Consider the following 19,998-nt stretch of genomic DNA (forward strand, 5'->3'; position numbering starts at 1 on the left):
GAATAGTCAAAATCATCTTGAAAGAAAAGAACCACTTCACGCCCACTAGAATGACTATAATAAAGGTAGATAATAACAAGGGTTGGTGAGAGCAATTGGAACACTCATGAATTGCTGGTAGAATATAAAATGGTGCTCACACTTTGGAAACAGCATGGCTATTCATCAAAATGTTAAACATAAAGTTAGTGACCCAGTAATTCCACTTCTGGGTAGATACTAAAGAGAAATAAAAACATATCTCCACACAAAAACTTGCACCTGAATGCTCATAGCAGCATTATAAAAACTAGCCAGAAAGTGGAAACAACCCCAAAACAACCCAAATGTCTATGAACTGATAAGGAATGGATATATAATAGGTAAAGAAAATATGATAGAGCCATACAATGAGACATTATTTGTCAATAAAAAGGAATGAAGTACTGATATATGTTACAATGTGTTTGAACCTTAAAAACATTATGCTAAGTGAAAAAATCAAGTCAAAAAGACCATGTAATGTATGATTCTACTTATATCCCACGTCCAGTATAAGCAAATCTGTGAAGACAAAAAGTAAATTAGTTATTTGCTTAGGTTGAGGGAGTGGGGAGAAATGGAAAGTGATTGCTAAGGGTACTTTTTTAAAATGAGTTGATGAAAATGTTCTAAAATTATGATTAGTTTGCACAGATCTGTGAATACACTGAAAACCATTGAAGTTTACACTTTACGTGGGTGAACCTTATGATATGTTAATACCAATATCAATAAAGCTGCTAAAATGATACAATGGTAACTTGCACTAAGTTGATTGATAGTAGAAGTGGTAAGACGTCAAATTAGTCAGTTCTAAATACATTTTCAACTAGAGGCAACGGATTAGATGAGAGAAAGAAAGGTAATAGATGAATTCAATATTTATGGCTTTGAAGGATGTAATTGACATTAACCTTGAAGAAAAATATTAGGTTTTAGTTAATACGCAAATATTTTGAAATTAATGCAATAGTAAGTGTGAGTTATATCACACAGGATCCTCTGTATTTCTTATTTCTAGTTAGATGTGATAGGCAGCTTCTATAATGTCTTCCAACTAGTTATCGCTGTCTCCTGATATTCCCTTTATTGTTTATGTTCCCTCTTTTTGAGCGTGTGCTAGACCTAGTGACTGGCTTCTTCTGAAGAGTATATGGTATAAGTGAAGAGGTATTGCTTCTGATATTTATATAATAAAAGACTCTGAATCAATCTGTCTCTTTTTCTCTTCCTCTCTCAGAGCCTTAGCTCTAATGAAGCCAATTACTGTGTTGTGAGCTGCCATCCTGAATGACCCACATGGCAAGGAACACAGGGCAGACCCAGGCAGCAGCTGGTGGGAAATTGAGGTCTTCAATCCAACAGCTTGTGAGGAGCTGAATCTTGCCAATAACCATGTGAGCTTGGCAGCAGGTCCACCCTCCAGTTGAGCCTTGAAATGACTGCCACCTCAGCTGACACCTTGATTGACATCTGTGAGAAATCCTGAACTGCAGGATCCAGTTATTTCATACTCAACTTCCTGACTTCATAAACTGTTAAATAATTAAAGTGTGTTTTAGGTCTTTATAGTCTAAGTAACTTGTTATTAAACAATATCTAAGATATCTGAATGTTAACTAATGCACTCAATTACTGAAGTAATTTACATAGAAATTTGTACTAAATTGGCAGGTGTTCCATATGATACCTCAAGATCTTGTTCAATTTCCAAAAAATGTTTTATTATTTTATTTTATTGTGGTAAGAACAATTAACATGATATCTACCTTTCTGACAAATTTTTAAGTACACAATATTATTATTGGCTGTAAACACAATGTTGTATGGCAGATCTCTAGAACTTATTCGTCTTGACTAAAGCTTAATGCCCCTTGATTATTAAATCGTCTTTTCTCATTTCCTTCAGTCCCTAAAAACCACCATTCCACTCTTTGATTCTACCAATTTGACTGTTTTAGATACCTTATATAAGTGGAATTATGCAGTACTTGTCTTTCTGTGACTGGCTTATTTCACTTAGCATAATGCCCACAAGGTTCATCCATGTTGTCACGTGTTACAGAATTTCCTTCTTTTTTCAATGCCTTGGTGCTTCAGGGTTTTTTATTACTGTGATTAAATCTTTCCTGCACATGTGGATCCACTCTTGAGTGTAAAGATTTTTTTATTTGTTATTGAACCTCCAAAATACACTATTTATTCATTGTGAATTTTTGTTGCATATTTGTTCACAATTTTGTTTTAGTGTAAATATCCTTTTCTTCTCTAAATTCCCTACCTTTAAATACCCTATAAGTTATTATCAGTTTTTTTCTGCATTTGTGGCATAATACAAGGCTGTAAACTGGATAATCCAGTAAAAATACTGTAAAGCATTGTCAACATTGAAAGGAAGCTCTCTCTCAGTTTCATTTCATTATACTATTAATTTGTTATCATATTACTTTATTTCTTTTTAATATGACACATACATAGCTGATTGAGTGTGCAGCCTATTATGACACTTAAGGATTTTCCATAGTGTCTCTTTAATAGATTTGTGTTTTTATGAGAACAATTTAAATGTCAGCATTTTTTACTTAATGTATATTGTGTAATTATGAAAAAAGTTATATAGATTTCATAAATATGTGTAGCTTTTTAAAATCAGAATTTAAAATCCTATGTCTTTATTTCAAGAATCTTCACTTAGTCATGAAAATGATACCAGACTGCTCAATAACACAGCAAGTAAAATTCACATCATCATTGAAAATGTCAATATTAAGGACAAAAACTTGATACTTACCCCTTCAGGATATTTCATGTCTGCAACTATTAGTGAACTGAAAAGCCCTACTGGCTTGAAAACTTTAATGAGTTTATATGTAAAACTTAAAACAACAAAATACAATTTTTAAACTTTTTTTTCCAGTCTATTGTGGAATAAAGGTAAACAGTTCAGTGTATGGTATATGCACTTTTCTTTCTATGGCTGGAAAATAGCTGTAGGTTAAATTGGGAATAAGTTTTGGTAATTTTTTTTATTAGTGCTTTCATGTTGGCCAGTGTTTCTAGTTCTCTTTAGCCTTCATTCATCTATTGTTGTTATTGAAGCTTTGCATCTATTTATTGACGTACTCAAGCAACTGAATAGCAGCAAAGATCTATGAGTTATTGAAGGAAAAAGAACCAAAAAGTATTTTTCTCCACCCTACTGCCATACTAAGAAGGGTATCTTGTAACTGCCATATTTCGGTTGACTATGCTTGTCATTAGACTAAGATCCTGTATACAAACACACACATATACACATGACATATATGTGCATGGAGTAAGCATAATACATCCACACACATGTACACCCCCACTGCATACATTGGTGCTCATGGATTAAGCATATACATACACATAACTCCCACATGCATATACATATTCACATGGCATATGTGTGTGTGTATGGATGAAGCAATAACAATAACAATGTTTTATATTAATAAAGTCTCTTCCAACATGATGAAATGTGGCAATGTGTTTCTCTCATGATTTTTAAACATATTACAAGAGAAAACAAACTCCATCCGGAAACATTTCAGAGAAATTCCACAAATGAAACTACTCAGATAGATTGTATTTAAAAAATACAATTTTTGAAATATCAATATCAAGCTATTAATATATCTGAATATGTTTGAATCATTTTTGGAACTGCTATGAGAACAAGTGTGCTTTTGAGACTGACAATCCCTCTGACAGCCAAGGTCATATCAAGGGATAATGAGGAATGTCAGAATAGAACTTAAAAAAAGGATTTAAAGACTTTTGATTTTTATCTGTATGAATTGTTCATTTAGTTTGAAAATATTTTCTCATAATTGCTTCAATTCCAGCTAGATAAGGATTTCATGATGTTCATTCCAAATTTGTGGACCGATGTAATCCACAAATGATCACAGAATTTTAAAACTGAAATTGATCAGTAGCATTATCTGGTCCAGTGCCTTTGGTTGGCAAATGAGTTGATGTAAATTAATTATCTAAAAACTTTGTAGTTTAGAGAATGAAAGAGCAAGTCATTACTATTTCGAGAGAGGAAAGTGAGATATAAAGACATTAAATAAGTTGCCAATTTTATCAGAACTTGTTACTAGCAGTCAAGACTAAAATTTACTCCACCAATATCCAGTTAGTGTTTCTGCTATCCTATCCTATCTTGATACTGTTGATGGCTCTAAAGTGTCAGCTGGATGTGAAAAGATAATAATTTAATAAGAAAGAGATATATCTCTTGGCTCTCTGGATAGCACACATATTGTCATGTTATGTTGACAATAAAGGTGGGGTTCTGAATGTCACTGCTTGAAGAGTCTTGAGTTTTATTGAGCTGAACTCCAGAAGGAAAAGGACAGTGTCATTTCAGTATGATATATGTTTAATGGACTTCATTTTAGTCGTAATATTTGGACTATGTAAAATACAATAAGATTTTTTACACAATATATTTATAGGAATAAGTGTAGTTTCTAGCCACGCTGACTAAACAAATGTAATTACTCTGAATGGACTCTAAATAGCTTTCAACATTTCATTACAAAGCAATTACATCTGAGTCTTCTCAGAGCTCTCAGCATGGCTCTTAAAAAAGAAATTACACAAACAGGTGAAATCAACCATTATGAAATATAACCTATATCCCTAAAACGCAAGGCTCTAGAGTAGGAGTGTAGTGGAATGAAGTGGGGGAAGTTTAAGACAGGTGATAAACATGTTTTATTTTCAAGGTAAGTGTCCTGAGAGAATTTAGCATGCTTACTCAAGGTAAGTTTATTTTTGAAATGGAAAAGATTTACTTAATTTTATAATGCTATGAAGCAGTACCACATTTATGAGACATTTCCTAAAAGTTAAGTAAAAAATGACCCCTTGTAAATCCATATTTTTTTTAAAAAAAATTAGGTGTTTTAAAAGCAAGATGTAATTGCATGCTCCTCTGTATTTAGAAAGGTCATAATTGGTTAATTAACACTATTGAATGCTTACTGTGTGCCAGCCGCTGCTCTAAGCACATTATGTATATCCTCCCAGCAATTCCATGAGGTAGTTGTTACCATTATCTCAGTTTTATAAATGGAGAAACAGACATAGAGAATCTAAGTCATTTGTTCAAGGTCAAGCAACCATCAATGGAAGGTGAGGATTCAAACAGATAATCTGGTGCCTGAGTCCTTGATCTTAACTACTTTTTATGTTTTCTACATTTACTACTAAGAATCCTGTGTGCAGATCTGACATTGGTCTGGGGATTTAGAGACTCAAAGAGTGATGAGCTATTAGCTTAACAACTGGGCATAACTTTGTAACATATCATAGTATTAATTTGACTTGCGCTATGCTTCCAAAGATGGCTTAAAACAACGAAAATATCAGTAAATCACACAGTACTAATGAATCACAACAGTTTAAGTTAGGAGTTCCTAACTAGGAACTAGGGTCTTTGCTGGATTCACAAACCCTTTGTGATTGTATGTCCCACTGGGTGAAGATGTGAGAATGTGCATCTGAGCATTTTTCAAGGGAAAATGTTTCTGTCTTTTGTTAGATTCTTAAAGGAATACATGGCTTAATTAACGTCTAGAGCAGGGATGAGCAAACTTTTTTTTGGTAAAGATTGAGATAAAAATATTTTAGGCTTTGTGGACCATAGGATCTCTTTCACAACCATTCAACTCCGCCATTGCAATGTGAAAGCAGCTGCAGGCAATTCGTAAAGGAATGAGTGTGGCAGTCTTCCAACAAAATTTTATTTATGAACATTTAAATGTAAATTTTATATAATTTTTACATGCCACAAAATATCACTGTTCCTTTGATTGCTTACTTTTGATTTGAATTATTAAGAAATGTTTTTAAAAAAGGCTTTCTTAGGTCAGGGATCATAAACAGCAAGTAGCACTCCAGAATTGGCTTAAAGGTCACAATTTTCCAGCCCCTCGTCTAGAGCAAGTGATTCTTAGTGTAGAATCATGGGGATCATCTGGGAAGTTTCTGAAATGCAAATTGTCAGGCCTCTCTGCAGATCTACTGAATCAGAAACTGTGCTAATGGACCAAGCAGTCTGTGTTTCAGAAGTCTTCTAGGTGAAATAGATCACACTAAAATATGAGAGCCACTGGTCTAGAGTCATGGCTCCAAACATTCAACTCATTCATTTCTTCCTTCATTCTTGCAACAAATGATTTTTTAAACTATTATTTAAAAAATAGTCGAGACCATCCGGGCTAAAACGGTGAAACCCCGTCTCTACTAAAAATACAAAAAAATTAGCCGGGCGTAGTGGCGGGCGCCTGTAGTCCCAGCTACTTGGGAGGCTGAGGCAGGAGAATGGCGTGAACCCGGGAGGCGGAGCTTGCAGTGAGCCGAGATCCCGCCACTGCACTCCAGCCTGGGTGACAGAGCGAGACTCCGTCTCAAAAAAAGAAAAAAAAAAAAAAAAAAAAAAAAAAGTTCAGGGCTATGTGCAGGTTTATGATATAGATAAATTGTGTCATGGAGTTTCAGTGTACAGATTATTTTGTCACCCAAGCGATAAGCATAGTATCAGACAGGTAGTTTTTCCATCCTCTCCCTCCACACTCAAGCAGGCTCCAGGGTTTGGTGTTCCCTTCTTTGTGTCCATGTGTACTCAGTGTTTAGCTCACACTCATAAGTGCCAACATGCAGTGTTTGGTTTTCTGTTCCTGTGTCAGTTTGCTTAGGATTATGGCCTCTAGCCCCATCCATGTTGCTGCAAAGGACATAATCTCATTCTTTTTTATGGCTGCATAGTGTTCCATGGTGTATATATGGACCACATTTTCTTTATCCAATCTACTGTTGATAGGCATTTAGGTTGATTCCATGACTTTGCTGTTGTGAATAGCTCTGTGATGAACATGTGTGTGCGTCTTTATGGTAGAAGCATTTATACTTCTTTGGCATATAACTAATAATAGGATTGCTCAATCAAATGGTACTTCTGTTTTAAGTTCTTTGAGAAATTGCCACACTGCTTTCCACAATGGCTATACTAATTTATATTTCCACCAGCAGTGTGTAAGTGTTCTCTTTTCCTCTGCAACCTTGCCAACATCTGTTGTTTTTGACTTTTTAATAACTGTTATTCTGATTGGAATGAGATGGTATCTCATTGTGGTTTTGATTTGTATTTCTCTAATGATTAGTGATGTTAAGCAATAAATTATTTTTGAATGGTTAATTATATTGCACCAAGAATGAAAGTTGTACTATTTTTTCATCTTCATAGATACAAGAGTAGTCATCTCGTAAAATAGGAGTTGAAAGCTTTCTGAAAATAACTTACTTTTTGAAATATATTTTCTATATAATTACATAATGGTCCTTTACATATACACACATGCCTGAAACAAAATATCACAAAGTTATATGTACCCTCAATACATGTGATGCACCCTGATATTATATTTTATTCTATTTCTATCATATTCAACCCAATACATTAATTTTACACTTCCACCACAAGATCACAACTTATAGTTCAAAAGATACCACAATAAAATGTGCTCACCAGTGCAAATTCCTTGTTGAGAATCATCTGCTCTACTAAAGATGACTCGTTGTGGAAGAGGTGGGGCTGCATGTGGCTCCACATGTGAGGAAACCACCAGAACTCATCCACAGACCGAAGTAAAAGGTCATCTCCTTCATCTTCCTCTTCAGTCCCTTTAAAACATAAAGTTAAAAATAACTTTAGTGAAAATTTCTTACTATCTTAAAGGTTATTTTTGTCAGATTTATGTTAATTTTTCATGCTGCTGATACATATATCCAATTCTGTGGGCTTTTTAAATCAGAATAAAAGACCACAGTCTAAAATGAATCAAAGGCAAAGGGACTTGGGATTAGGATGGGGTGAGTAGGCATGGCTGGCACCAGGTCAGACAGTTGTTTAATTTAGAATTTAAGGGTATTTTATACTCTTACATATATGTTATACCCTTATATGTATTTTATACCCTAACATATATTTTTTACCCTTAAATGTTAAGGGTAATTCTCAAATAATTGGACATAAATTTTAACTCATAACATTTGTTAATTTTTTTCTGATTACATAAATAATATATGTTTATTAAAGAAATGTCAAAAGCACAGGCAAGTAATACACAAAGCCCAAAAACAAACACAAAAACAACAACAAAAAACCTGTAAGACCATCTTCTAGAGCTAACCAGTAAAAACATTTTTGTATTATTTTCAAAAATCTTTTTCTACTTATATTTTAAAAGTTTAGCTCTTGCTGTACTAATATTTTTGCATGCTTAAATTTTTCACTTAATGTTATACATATCAAATTTCCCATTTTAATATAAATATTTCATAAAAACTAAACAATGGATCTGATAATTGTTTATAATATGTGTGACTTGAGAATTTAAAACTAGTATCACTTTCTCTTCTTCTTTTGGGAAAATTTGTTAACAGCACCCAATACATAGGAAATAAAAACAAAAAACATTGTTATGCCACAGTTAAGAAAAAAAAAACTTACTTCTAAGAGAATTAATTATATTGCAGCTATCCAAGAATATCCACAAATGAAATGATAGAGTTTTCGTATGATTTTGTACAATTTTACTATATACAGCTGAATTTACAAATGTTGTGAATCGATAACATAAGAATTAATTCCTGCTTGCTCTCTTACTACTTAACTGTGTAAATAAGAGAATAAGTCCTGGCTTATAGTGTGGGTTGTATTATTTGGTTTATTCTCTCACAAAAGAATATGTTTTACAGATGGATGTTTGATTTTTTATTTTTATTTTTTACTTAAATTTAGGGAATAAATATTAAAGATGGTTATAAGGATTTTCTCTGAATGTTCCATGTGTGTGTCTTAAAGATTTCCATGGTCATGAGAGTAGCTCCATGAAAGGATTAAAGCATGTATTTGGTGTCACTCAGTACTTGGAGCAGAGTCCCTAGTTTTGCCACTTAATTAACTATGTGATCTTGGACAAGTTAACCTCTCTAGGTCTTAGTTCCCTGTTTTAAAATAGGATTATAAATACCTGTTTTACAGGGTCTTAGTGAAGAGTTGATGAGATTAATTTATTAAAGCACTTAATATTGCTACTTGCAAGTAGTAAGCACTTTTTGAATATACCTTAAAAATTCTATCTATTGCTTTGTATTTGCTGTGTTTTGAATTTATATGTATTCACACTGTTTTAGAAACTTTGCCTGCGTAGATTATAAATTTCTTACAGTCAGGGACTGGATCCCTTTACCTTGTACTGTAACACGCCACTTACCCAGAGCAGTGAATAAATGAATAATTTAATTTAGTCTATATTTAACAAAGTCAGTAGATTAAGCAGCTTCACATGGCCACCAAAGTATATAGCAACTTCTTTCTTTTATGTATACTCACTGTTCCTGGAATAGAGTTCATAATTCATAATCTTTGAAAGGTATAAGGACCTTCAGGTTTAATTAGGGCTTTGGCACCTTCAATGCTACTACACAGAGTTAAGAAATTCTATTACTATTAGAAATTTTGAAAGTAATAAAGTCCTATAATTAAGATGAGCAGAGGATTTCTTAATTTTTGTTTTAGCTAACAGTGTTAGTATTACTGACTCATAATTCATTGACTTTTGTTAATATATTAAGAATATGAAATATTAAAATTCAAAAGAAGAAGAGTTTACCACTTCCTCAGATGAGGTGTTTATATGTTTCTCATGGTCATATTTTAGCAAATTGAGGCACAGATTAGAAAGAGTTACATTATGTCACATATGATGAAAGAATTGATAGTTCTCCCACCCTCCTGGAATTGTCTTGTGTGCTTTGAATACAGAGTGTTTGAAAAATGCTTCCATTCATTTTAAACTCTGCTGATCATTATTGCAAGTGGCAGGAAGCACATAATGCACACTTGACCAGGTAGGAGGTCAATTACTCAATTTAAAGAAAATTTTGTGGACTATTGATAGAAACAGATGCATGACTGATCATAAAATCTTAGCAATTTTTATATTAGAGATTATGTTAATTTATAAACACCCTCAAAAAAGCTGAGAGTAACGTTTAAGACTTTCCTTTTGTTTGCATCATGGATTAATTTTTGTCAGCTTTTCTCTTGTTTTATGCTGGTCATATAATTCAAAGCCACATGAGGCAAACCTTTGACACTGGAAACAGCTTAATAAAAAATATGATACTAAGCCATACTGAGGGACAGCAGCAGAATCTCAAATGATTTCAAATCCAACTAGATGAAAGTATTACATTTTGGACTTCCTGTAAACATTTATTTTTCTGTACCTAATATATACTTAAATTATATGTGGAAATATCATTTGCAGTTTATATGTGACCAGATTAGCGCATTTATTTTTCTATACCTAATATATACTTAAAGTATATGTGGAAATATCATTTGCAGTTTATATGTGACCAGATTAGCACATTTATTTTTCTGTACCTAATATATACTTAAATTATATGTGGAAATATCATTTGCAGTTTATATGTGACCAGATTAGCATGTTACAGACCATTAAAATATCTGTGCTCAAATTAAACCTTTCACTTCTAATCTGATCTAGATCCTGGTCTAGATAATTATTAATGAAAAAAATACATTTTGCACTTATTAAAATTTTTTTTTTACATTTCCTAATTACCAATGAATAAAAAATGTTTTAATTCAGAAGTAAAATACATGAAGTTTGTTTCTTTACTATCACTTTTGGAGAATCTGTGTTGTGAGATAAAAGTATGCTTCTGAAATTTCTTTAAGTCTGCCAAAATAAGAATAATTTTGCCCTACAGGTTAATCTCCTTAAAAGTACAGTTATTAAATTAAGATATATATAATTTCAGTGTATTTATTTTCTCTTTTGTAAAAATTTCTACCTTATATTTGTGTAATTTGTATAAAATATAATTTCTAAATGTTGAGATATTTTCTAATTTTCCTTGTACATCGAACCTGGCATGGTTCCATATATGTGGGGATAGAATAAACTACTTTTTAATATTATACTAAATATAAAGAACTGTGGAATGATAAACATTGATTAAAAGCTACCTATGGTTCCAAAATTAGAAAATAGTGCCATATGAATTGTCTACTATTTACTTTTTGATAATATTTGAATCTTATATGAAAATAATTTTAAAATTAATAATAAACATTTACATAGCACTTGTAACATGCTAAGCATTGCTCCTAATAAAAGAGATATTATTATCCCCATTTGGTAGATATATAAACTGAGGCACAGAAAATTTAAGTAAACTGTGTTCAAATGCTGGCAAAATGTCAGAATCTGGATTTGAACATCAAGTTTGTTACCAATATCAGGTCTTTTAACTAATTCTCCACACAGAAAAGCAACATATGCAAAAAACAAAAAATCACAGAAGGGGTAAGAATGTAACACTCTACTTACTGTCATGCTTGAAAGTTAATGATTTTATAGAAAATGCTATTTTTCATAAAATAATCTCTCATGGAAAAGACCAATGTTAATTGTTAATTCAATTTGCAAACATTATTCATGAATTAATTATTGATTGGGTCACATTTAATTCCAAGGAACAGCAATGATTGTCACCAGAAATCATGTCCCTGGCAAAATACAGTGGGTAGCTCCTCTTTCAAAGAAGGCATCTGAATACTATAATGTCTCCATTTCTCAATTAAGCTTTTGTTATGCAATTCCATTCAAGCTCTAAATATTTCCAGACTAAGGTATTTCATTCTAAACTCCGTGCTTTTATTTTTTTCCCATTTAACCTGCACTACGTCCTTCCTCTTTCAGTTTGGCACCTGTGGGTGAATGACTTTAGGAAAAGCTTAGTGGTATGCCCTTTTGAGGTGAGATTGTTTTTAGCATGTGAAGGACAGAGAAACTGAACAGGAAAGAATACATGAGAAATACACATAAGTGAAGTAGCCTAAGAAATGCAGAATCAATCATTATTACACTGGGCCTATGTGATTAAATGTCTTCAAAACAATGAGGCTCATCCATCAGCATCCTCACGCACTGGGAAATCAGATCATTCTGGGAGAGAACAGAGACAGTCAGTCCGACAAGGCCATCTCCTCATGGTTACACATCACAGCCAAGTGCACATGTAAGGAATGCACCTCCTTGATTTGCAATTGTTTTTTCTAAAATGTGAAATCTCCGTATAGAAATGTGACAAGATAGGGGTAAGGCACGTCTTTCTGATATCTGAAAGGGTATCACGTTGTGTAACTCAGCTCCAGAAGAAACTTTGATATCCCTGAGTGCATTAATAAGTATTCATATAATTATGATGGCACTCTTGAAATATGTTATAGGTGCATTTCAATGATCCTACAAATGAAGTAAATATATCCATTAAATAAAAATGACATATTTATGTGAAAGAAATTAAACTTCTAAAATTTATAGATTTATAAATATTGCTTATTCTCTAAAGTGTACTATCACCACAGTATTACAACACAAACTATTCTATTGTTTTTGTTATACTGGTTTCAACACAAAGAGTCAATAATGCCTGCTTAAAAGATATAATTAAAATACATCTTTCTTTTTTACTGTCCTTCTTCAATAACTATTTCTGTGATACTGACTGGAGTGCTGCTCATTTCCCAGTGGTTGTGTACTCTATGCATGTTCAGTGTTTTAAAGAAGAAATGGGAAGTGGTGTATCCTCTACAACATTAACTTTGCAAATGTCAGGCACATTTAATAGGTCTGAGTATGAAAAGTAAATAAAAACTGAGGCAGTTATCCAGATATACTTCAGCCAAAAGAATGACTTTCCTTACAATCTACAGCTATTTAAGACAAAATAGTATTGTTTGTATGTGAACTCCAAATAATCCCATAATTTTTCCCCCTGCATGAGTAGATATAGCCTTTAAAGCTATCTGCTTTATAACTTCATAGTCAGAGCTTCTTTGGTCTGAAATCATTTCTTGAGGGAGTTTTGAAAAGATTTACAAAACCATGTCTATTTTCAAAATTGCAAGCTGAAATTGCTTTGCCTGTGCAGATATGCTGACCCAAATCTCTTTCTGCAAAACATCCTTTTAAAATATGAAATCATTTGATTTATCAACTCGTATACATACTAATTTTCCTTCTATTACTTTAAGCAGGTTTACATGTTTCAAAGCAGGAGAAAAAAAAGCATCAAGGAAAAGCCAATAAGACATTGTTATTTCAATATTCTAACAAACCATATTGAGCTTTTACATTAAAAAGCCTCATTTAGTAAACAAGGTATTTATGAAAACTAAAGACTACCTTTGAATAGAATATTTTAATAAGTTAATAAATTGCATACATGGATACAGAATAAATACTGTGAAATGTTTTCACTAAGGTGCTGTGAAACAACAACAGTGCAAACTTCTAAACAAAGCAATCAGTTCACAGCATGGATGCACAAATAGAAGCAGATTATAGGTATTCCCCTAACACAGGCCCCAACACATAGTTTAGTACTCTTTTTGTCAAAGACAATCAATTTTATTAGCATAGCTTTCTCTAACATGGTACCAGATATTTCAATGCTAATATTCAGAAAATAAAAAGTCAGCATTTTGGAGGTGAGGGTAAGTAAAGAAGTAAGGAATATCAGAACACAGCACATGAATAGCAATCACATTTTAAGAATTTATTTAGAGGGTGAGACTGAACATAAGTACAATTGTGGCTGGATAGAGATGGAAAGAAATACAAGTCTAATTGTGATGGTTTTAGTCTATGTTAGGCCAAATTAGTGGTAATATTGTTTTAGGGAAAAAATCCTGCAAGTGAAGGTAAACTAACAAGTTTAGAGTCTATTACATTTCATTGAGACCATAAAGTTTCTCTCTATCATCAGATGTTTTCCAAAGGAAAATAATATGTACAAAAGTATCTATCTCATCAACTATTTGATAATTTTAAAATTCTGTCAGTTATTATTAGTAGTATTCTCATTATCACTATTACTATGCCTTCTACCCATACTGTGCTGAGAAACAAGATGCACAGTCATACTCAGTACAGTGGTTATGCTTTCTATTTTTTAAAAAATGAGTTGAAAAAGTCAATTCTCTTTCTCTTTTGCCCTTGATTTTAAACAGTATTTGCCAAGGTAAATATGCTCATTGATTTTGGATTTGGCTACTCAAATAATGTGCCCAAGTTTTTCCCATAATCAATCTGGAGAATCTATCTCTACCACTTATGAATCATTCAAAATTTATTTCCTATTTATATGTAGCTGCCTGAGAACACAAAGCTCCTTCTTACCTGTGTGGTAAAACTTCCCTGAAAATCCAAGGTTGAAGGTAAAATTTGCAACCTGAGTGCGCAGTAAATTTTGAGTCTCTAGTAATGCCTGAAATAAATAAGAAATTAACATGATTTTAGAAAAATAAATATGAAGTTTTGGGATGCCTCTTTTGCAAATGTGTATGCATGAGTAAAACAAAATGATATGAGCTTTCTTGTTTTTGATGGGTACTGTTATGTAGTATTCGTATTTCAGGTATTATAATTATTATAGTCATTATTTTTATTGAAGGTCACCATATTATGAAACAGTTAAGTCCTAAGCACATTTTGCATTGCTGAGAGGCAATTGTCCAACTCCACAGCACTGAAATCATTTTTCATTTCTGTGTGAGACATTTCTTGAACTTTGGATTATTATACTTCCTTTATGTGGTGAAAATTTTTCAGAATTGTTGAATGCAGACAAGTCCTGTTTTCATGGTAAGCAATAGGAGGAGAACTTTTGTTTGAACTGCAATTTAATATTTTATTTAACTGGGCCACCTCCCTCATCATTTTTAAAGGCATAATTATTAAATTGAAAGCTTGGGTTTTTACCTTACAAACTACAGAGCAATGTGTATTTTATAGGACATTGCTTGCAAACCTAGTTATGAAAAAGGGAAGAACATGTAAAAATAGATACCCCTTTTTGTTACTAATTCCATAACAGAAATTTTCTAAATGTGACAAACATTTCCCTAGTTTCTAGATTTGGAATTATACTATGTGAAAGTCTGGTTTGTGGACAGGATAATAACACATTGCTAATAATGACACAGAATTAGTTATGTAAATTTGTTGCCAATCCTTTCACCGCCATTATTCCTATGTCAAAATTTGTAGCATAATTCAGAACCCTTATATCCTTGGGCTTTTTAGTTTGCTTACTGGTATGCATATTGATTCAGAATGCTTTTTCTATTTTTAATGGATTTTTAAAGAGGACATACTTTGTTCTGATTAAAATGAGAAGCTAATTTCAAACAAGAGATATTAATAATAAGACTGATTTTTGATTACTCCTATCCATCTGTTATGGAGACTAAGGAGTCAGAGGTTAAACAATTTTTTCCATTAGTCATGGTGGCTAAGCATTTGTTTCAAAGACTTGTGAACCTAACTGTTTATTCCTTTACAATGAAAGGAGTCTCCTGTACATTAGTTTAATTAAAAAAATGACTAAGTAACTAAAATGTTGATAAAATATATAGTCAATGGTTATCCAAGACCACAATTAGACTGGGTGTTATCATGTTCAACATTATTAAATATTATCAACTAAGTAGACAAAGGCAGAAATAGAACCACTAGCTTAACTGAGTTCTACAAAATATTAAAAATACATTTCTCATAGAGATTAAACTAAATATTAAAAACAGTTGAGATAAAAAGTGCATTGAACTAGTTGAACATATTGGTAAATGCTCTGGAATACAGCCTTAAAATAAGAATATTATGCATTATTTCCCTTAGTGAGTTCCCTTTTCTGGCTTTTTTTTTGGCTGTATTCCATGCACAATTTCTTAGTCTCCTTATCTTGATTTTTAAAAAAATTTCTCCCGTCTGCTATTCCCCTCACCACTCCAATTTCATCCACTTATCTTTCTTCCTCTAAGTTCTTGAAGTCATTCATTATTCTGCATTTATTTATCTGTGAAATGGGGTACTTCTGAAAATTTATTTTATACTCTTATTAGGAGAATTACATTGGGTAAGGCATGCAAATTGTTTAGCTAAGTGTCTGGCAAGTAGCATGAGCTCAATAAATACTATTACTGATAACTGAGTCTATCATTCTCTCTCCATCAGTTAGGTATCCTTGGTGCCTCCAACACCCATTGCTATTTCCTGCAAATCACCATGTACTCTGGTTAAACTTAACTATCTCCCACCTCCTACATTTCCCAGTGCTATTTCTCTCTTTATTCTCTTTGCCTAGAAAGCCTCCCCAGCTCCCAATGCCATTTCCCAAATCCTACCAATTCTTTATATCTCCGCCCAAATGTCAACTTTTTGTATAAAGCCTCCTCTGGTACACCAAAGTAGATTCCTAAATTATTTTCTTAAAACTTGCATTATTTTTGACTTTATTGCATCCATGCTCTATCTCATGTTTTCCTTTAGTCTATGCACCTGAAGCTCCATCAAACCTTATTCATTTTCATGTATCTCATGTTACTGGTTTTTTTTTGCATTTAGTAACATGAGATACATGAAAATGAGTAAGGTTTGATGTATCCAAAGTATGATAAAAGTACATACTAATACACAGCAATAATTGGATTAGTTTCATTTATTTTTAATTTTTAATTTTTGTCAGTAACATTTTTCCAATGGTAATATGATAAACATAGTTCATGGGCCATACCACAAGATGATATCAGAACAATATAGATAGGATCTAGCATTTCACCAGGATGTTTTATAACACAGATGTTTTATAGCCTTGTGTCATAGATCTCTAAAGCAAGTTCAGAGAGGCAAAGGCAGATGGGGGGCTAGTTAGCTATGTGAAGAACTTAACAGACCTTTTCATTGTTGAAAAAAAGAGCTATCTAGTCATGGCCTACTAACATGTAGTCTGGATTAATGAGGGAGTAAAAATGACAAATTCTATAAGTAAAAACAAAACGAATGAAAAAAAAGCAAATCTTAAAAAGTTTTCAAGGCTTCCTTGTTTAGTACAAGTAAATGTTCTTTAGTTTTCAAACTTCAGAAAAGTTTTCATGCCATTCAGTTACAAAGGAAGGGAGAAAAAAATAACAATGAATATACACAAAATGATTCAAACTAAAAAAAATCAGAAATAAATTTAAAAGAGAAAAGTGCTAAACCATACAAATTCAGAAGAAAAGTAGAAAGATGAAAGAATTCCAATATAGGAATAATGTAAAATGTCAGAAGAAATATTAGGGCAAAAATAATATGGATATAAATTTAAGAATAAATTAAGTACAAATTTAACTTATTCTTTTAAAACCCTTCAATTTTTAAAACCCCTTATTTTGGAAAAGCTTGTTAATGAGCTAGAAATAAAGTTTCTCAATTTGGGATACAAATAAAATAGTAAAGCTCAGGAAATACACTTTTTTCTACCTGAATATTTCGTGCGGAAACTTTAGTTTTGAATATGTGTAATAAAATGTGGCTGGGCATGATGGCTCATGCCTGTAATCCCAGCACTTTGGGACGCCGAGGCAGGTGGATCTTTTGAGGTCAGAAGTTCAAGACCAGCCTGGCCCACATGGTGAAACCCCTTCTCTACTAATAATACAAAAATTAGATGGGCGTGGTAGTGCATGCCTGTAATCCCAGCTGCTCGGGAGGCTGAGTCAGGAGAATCACTTAAACCTGGGAGGTGGAGGTTGCAGTGAGCTGAGATTGCGCAATGGCACTCCAGCCTGGGCGACAAGAGTGAAACTCCATCTCAAAAAATAAATAAAGAAATAAATAAAATAAAAATAATAAAATGCGTTTAGAGCTTTGACAATATACATTATTTATTTAATAGTCTGCATGACATAACAAACAATATAAATGGTTTTGAAATTTTTTCTTTTACTGCTTATGAAGAACTCACTAAGTTGATTGTATATTAAAGAGAATAAATATGTAACTTATTTATAAAAATCAATAATTTATTATTTTAATAAACATAACTTCCATTAATTCAATAGTCTCCTAATAAATTTCTTAGTATTTCAGAAAGGAAGTCTAGGCTGGGTGTGGTGGCTCACGCCTATATTACTAGCACTTTGGGAAGCTGAGCTGGGAGGATTGCTTGAGCTTAAGAGTCAAAGCCAGCCTGGGCAACATGGTGCAACCCCTTCTCTACAAAAAAATACAAAAATTAGCCTGGCATGGTGGGGTGTGTAATATACCTGTAGTCTCAACTACTTCCAGGGTGGGAGCGAGAGGATCACTTTAGCCCAGGAGTTTGAGAGTACAATGAGCCATGTTCATGCCAATCTGACAAAGCGAAAGAAAGAGAAGAAGAAAGGATGGAAGGAAGGAAGGAAGGAAGGAAGGAAGGAAGGAAGGAAGGAAGGAAGGAAGAAAGCAGGAAAAAGAATGAGAGTCCAACTTTGCCCCTATATAGCTACATACTGTTTGATAAAGCAGTAATGGTATTCAAACTTTATTATGTGTACAATTTTCTAGAGAAAATTGCTAAAATTGTCAATTCTGGGGCCCACTTCAGGAAATACTGATTTTTGTCTGTCATAATGCCTACAAATGTGCACTTCATCATATACTCCAGCTGGTTCTAATAAACGTCGAGCAATTATTTTCAAGTTGCCCACATGAAATGAATCACCAGCATGCTTGTAAAGTATCTACTCCCAGGCTTATCCTCTGGGGATTCTGAATTGGAGACTATAAAATGAAAACAAAAATCTGTTTTTAACAATGATTTTTATAGCTTCAACCTGGAGATCATCACCATTAGAACATTAGTGTCCTAATAATACTGAGTTAGTATACTATTTATATTAATTTCAAGGTGTTATGCATATTTCTTAAATCATTTGGATATTAGGTTGTTACTCTCAGGCTAACCCTTTCCCTAAATGTACCTAATAAGTCATGTGCATATTCACATTTTGATATAGTCTTTGATATGGTTTGGCTCTGTGTCCCAACCCAAATCTCACATCAAATTGTAATCCCCACATGTTGAAGGTGGGGCTTGGTGGGAGGTGATTGGATTCTGAGGGTGGTTTCTAAAGGTTTAGCACCATCTCCCTAGTGCTGTCTCATGACAGAGTTCTCACGAGATCTGGTTGTTTCAAAGTGTGTGGCACTTCCCCCCAAACACACTCTCTCTCTTCCTGTGAGTCAATTAAACTTACTTTCTTTATAAATGATCCAGTCTCAGGTATGTGTTTACAGCAGTGTAAGAATGAACTAATACAGAAAATTGGTATTGGGAGTGGGGCACTGCTATAATGACACCTGAAAATGTGGAAGCAACTTTGGAACTGGGTAATGGGCAGAAGTTGGAACAGTTTGAAGGGTTCAGAAGAAGACAGGAAGATGTGGGAAAGGTTGGAACTTCCTAGAGACTTGTTGAATGGTTGTGACCAAAATGCTGATAGTGATATGGACAATGAAGCCCAGGCTGAGGTGGTCTCAGATGGAGATGGGGAACTTATTGGAAACTAGAGCAAAGGTCATTCTTGCTATATTTTAGCAAAGAGACTAGAGGAATTTTGTCCCTGCTCTAAAAATCTTTGAAACTTTGAACTTGAGAGAGATGATCAAGGGCGTCTGGAGGAACAAATTTCTAAGAAGCAAAGTGTTGAAGATATGGCCTGGCCCTTCCTAAAAGCCTAACTCATTTGCATAAAGAAAGAGATGGTCTGAAATGGGAACTTATATTTAAAAGTGAAGCAGAACATAAAAGTTGGAAAAAATTGCAGCCTGACCATATGGTAGAAAAGAAAAATCCATTTTCTGGGGAGGAATTCAAGCCCAAGCCAGCTGCAGACACTTGCATAAGTCAAGAGGAGCCAAATGTTAATCACCAAGACAATGGGGAAAGTGTCTCCAGAGCATTTCAGAGACCTTCACAGCAGCCCCTCCCATCACAGGCCCAGAGGCCTGAGAGAGAAAAATGGTTTCT

The 19,998-nt window shown here is 33.3% G+C and overlaps 1 protein-coding gene across 3 annotated transcripts in view; it reads right to left on the minus strand.

Moving 5' to 3' along the window:
* The window catches only part of NDST4 (N-deacetylase and N-sulfotransferase 4), a 285,858-nt gene that overhangs the window by 135,079 nt on the left and 130,781 nt on the right, over positions 1–19,998 (minus strand). For 2 of the 3 annotated variants that reach the window (XM_017008545.3, NM_022569.3), the window contains 2 exons: positions 14,346–14,433; positions 7,589–7,743 (listed from right to left, as the gene is read on the minus strand). In XM_017008545.3, the coding sequence (XP_016864034.1) occupies positions 7,589–7,672 (84 nt within the window). In that variant the 5' untranslated portion in view covers positions 7,673–7,743; positions 14,346–14,433. The remainder of the gene's footprint in view (positions 1–7,588; positions 7,744–14,345; positions 14,434–19,998) is intronic. The other variant, XM_017008546.2, reaches the window with a different exon arrangement.

The sequence above is a fragment of the Homo sapiens genome, chromosome 4, assembly GCF_000001405.40.
Source record: "Homo sapiens chromosome 4, GRCh38.p14 Primary Assembly".
Taxonomy (NCBI): domain Eukaryota; kingdom Metazoa; phylum Chordata; class Mammalia; order Primates; family Hominidae; genus Homo; species Homo sapiens.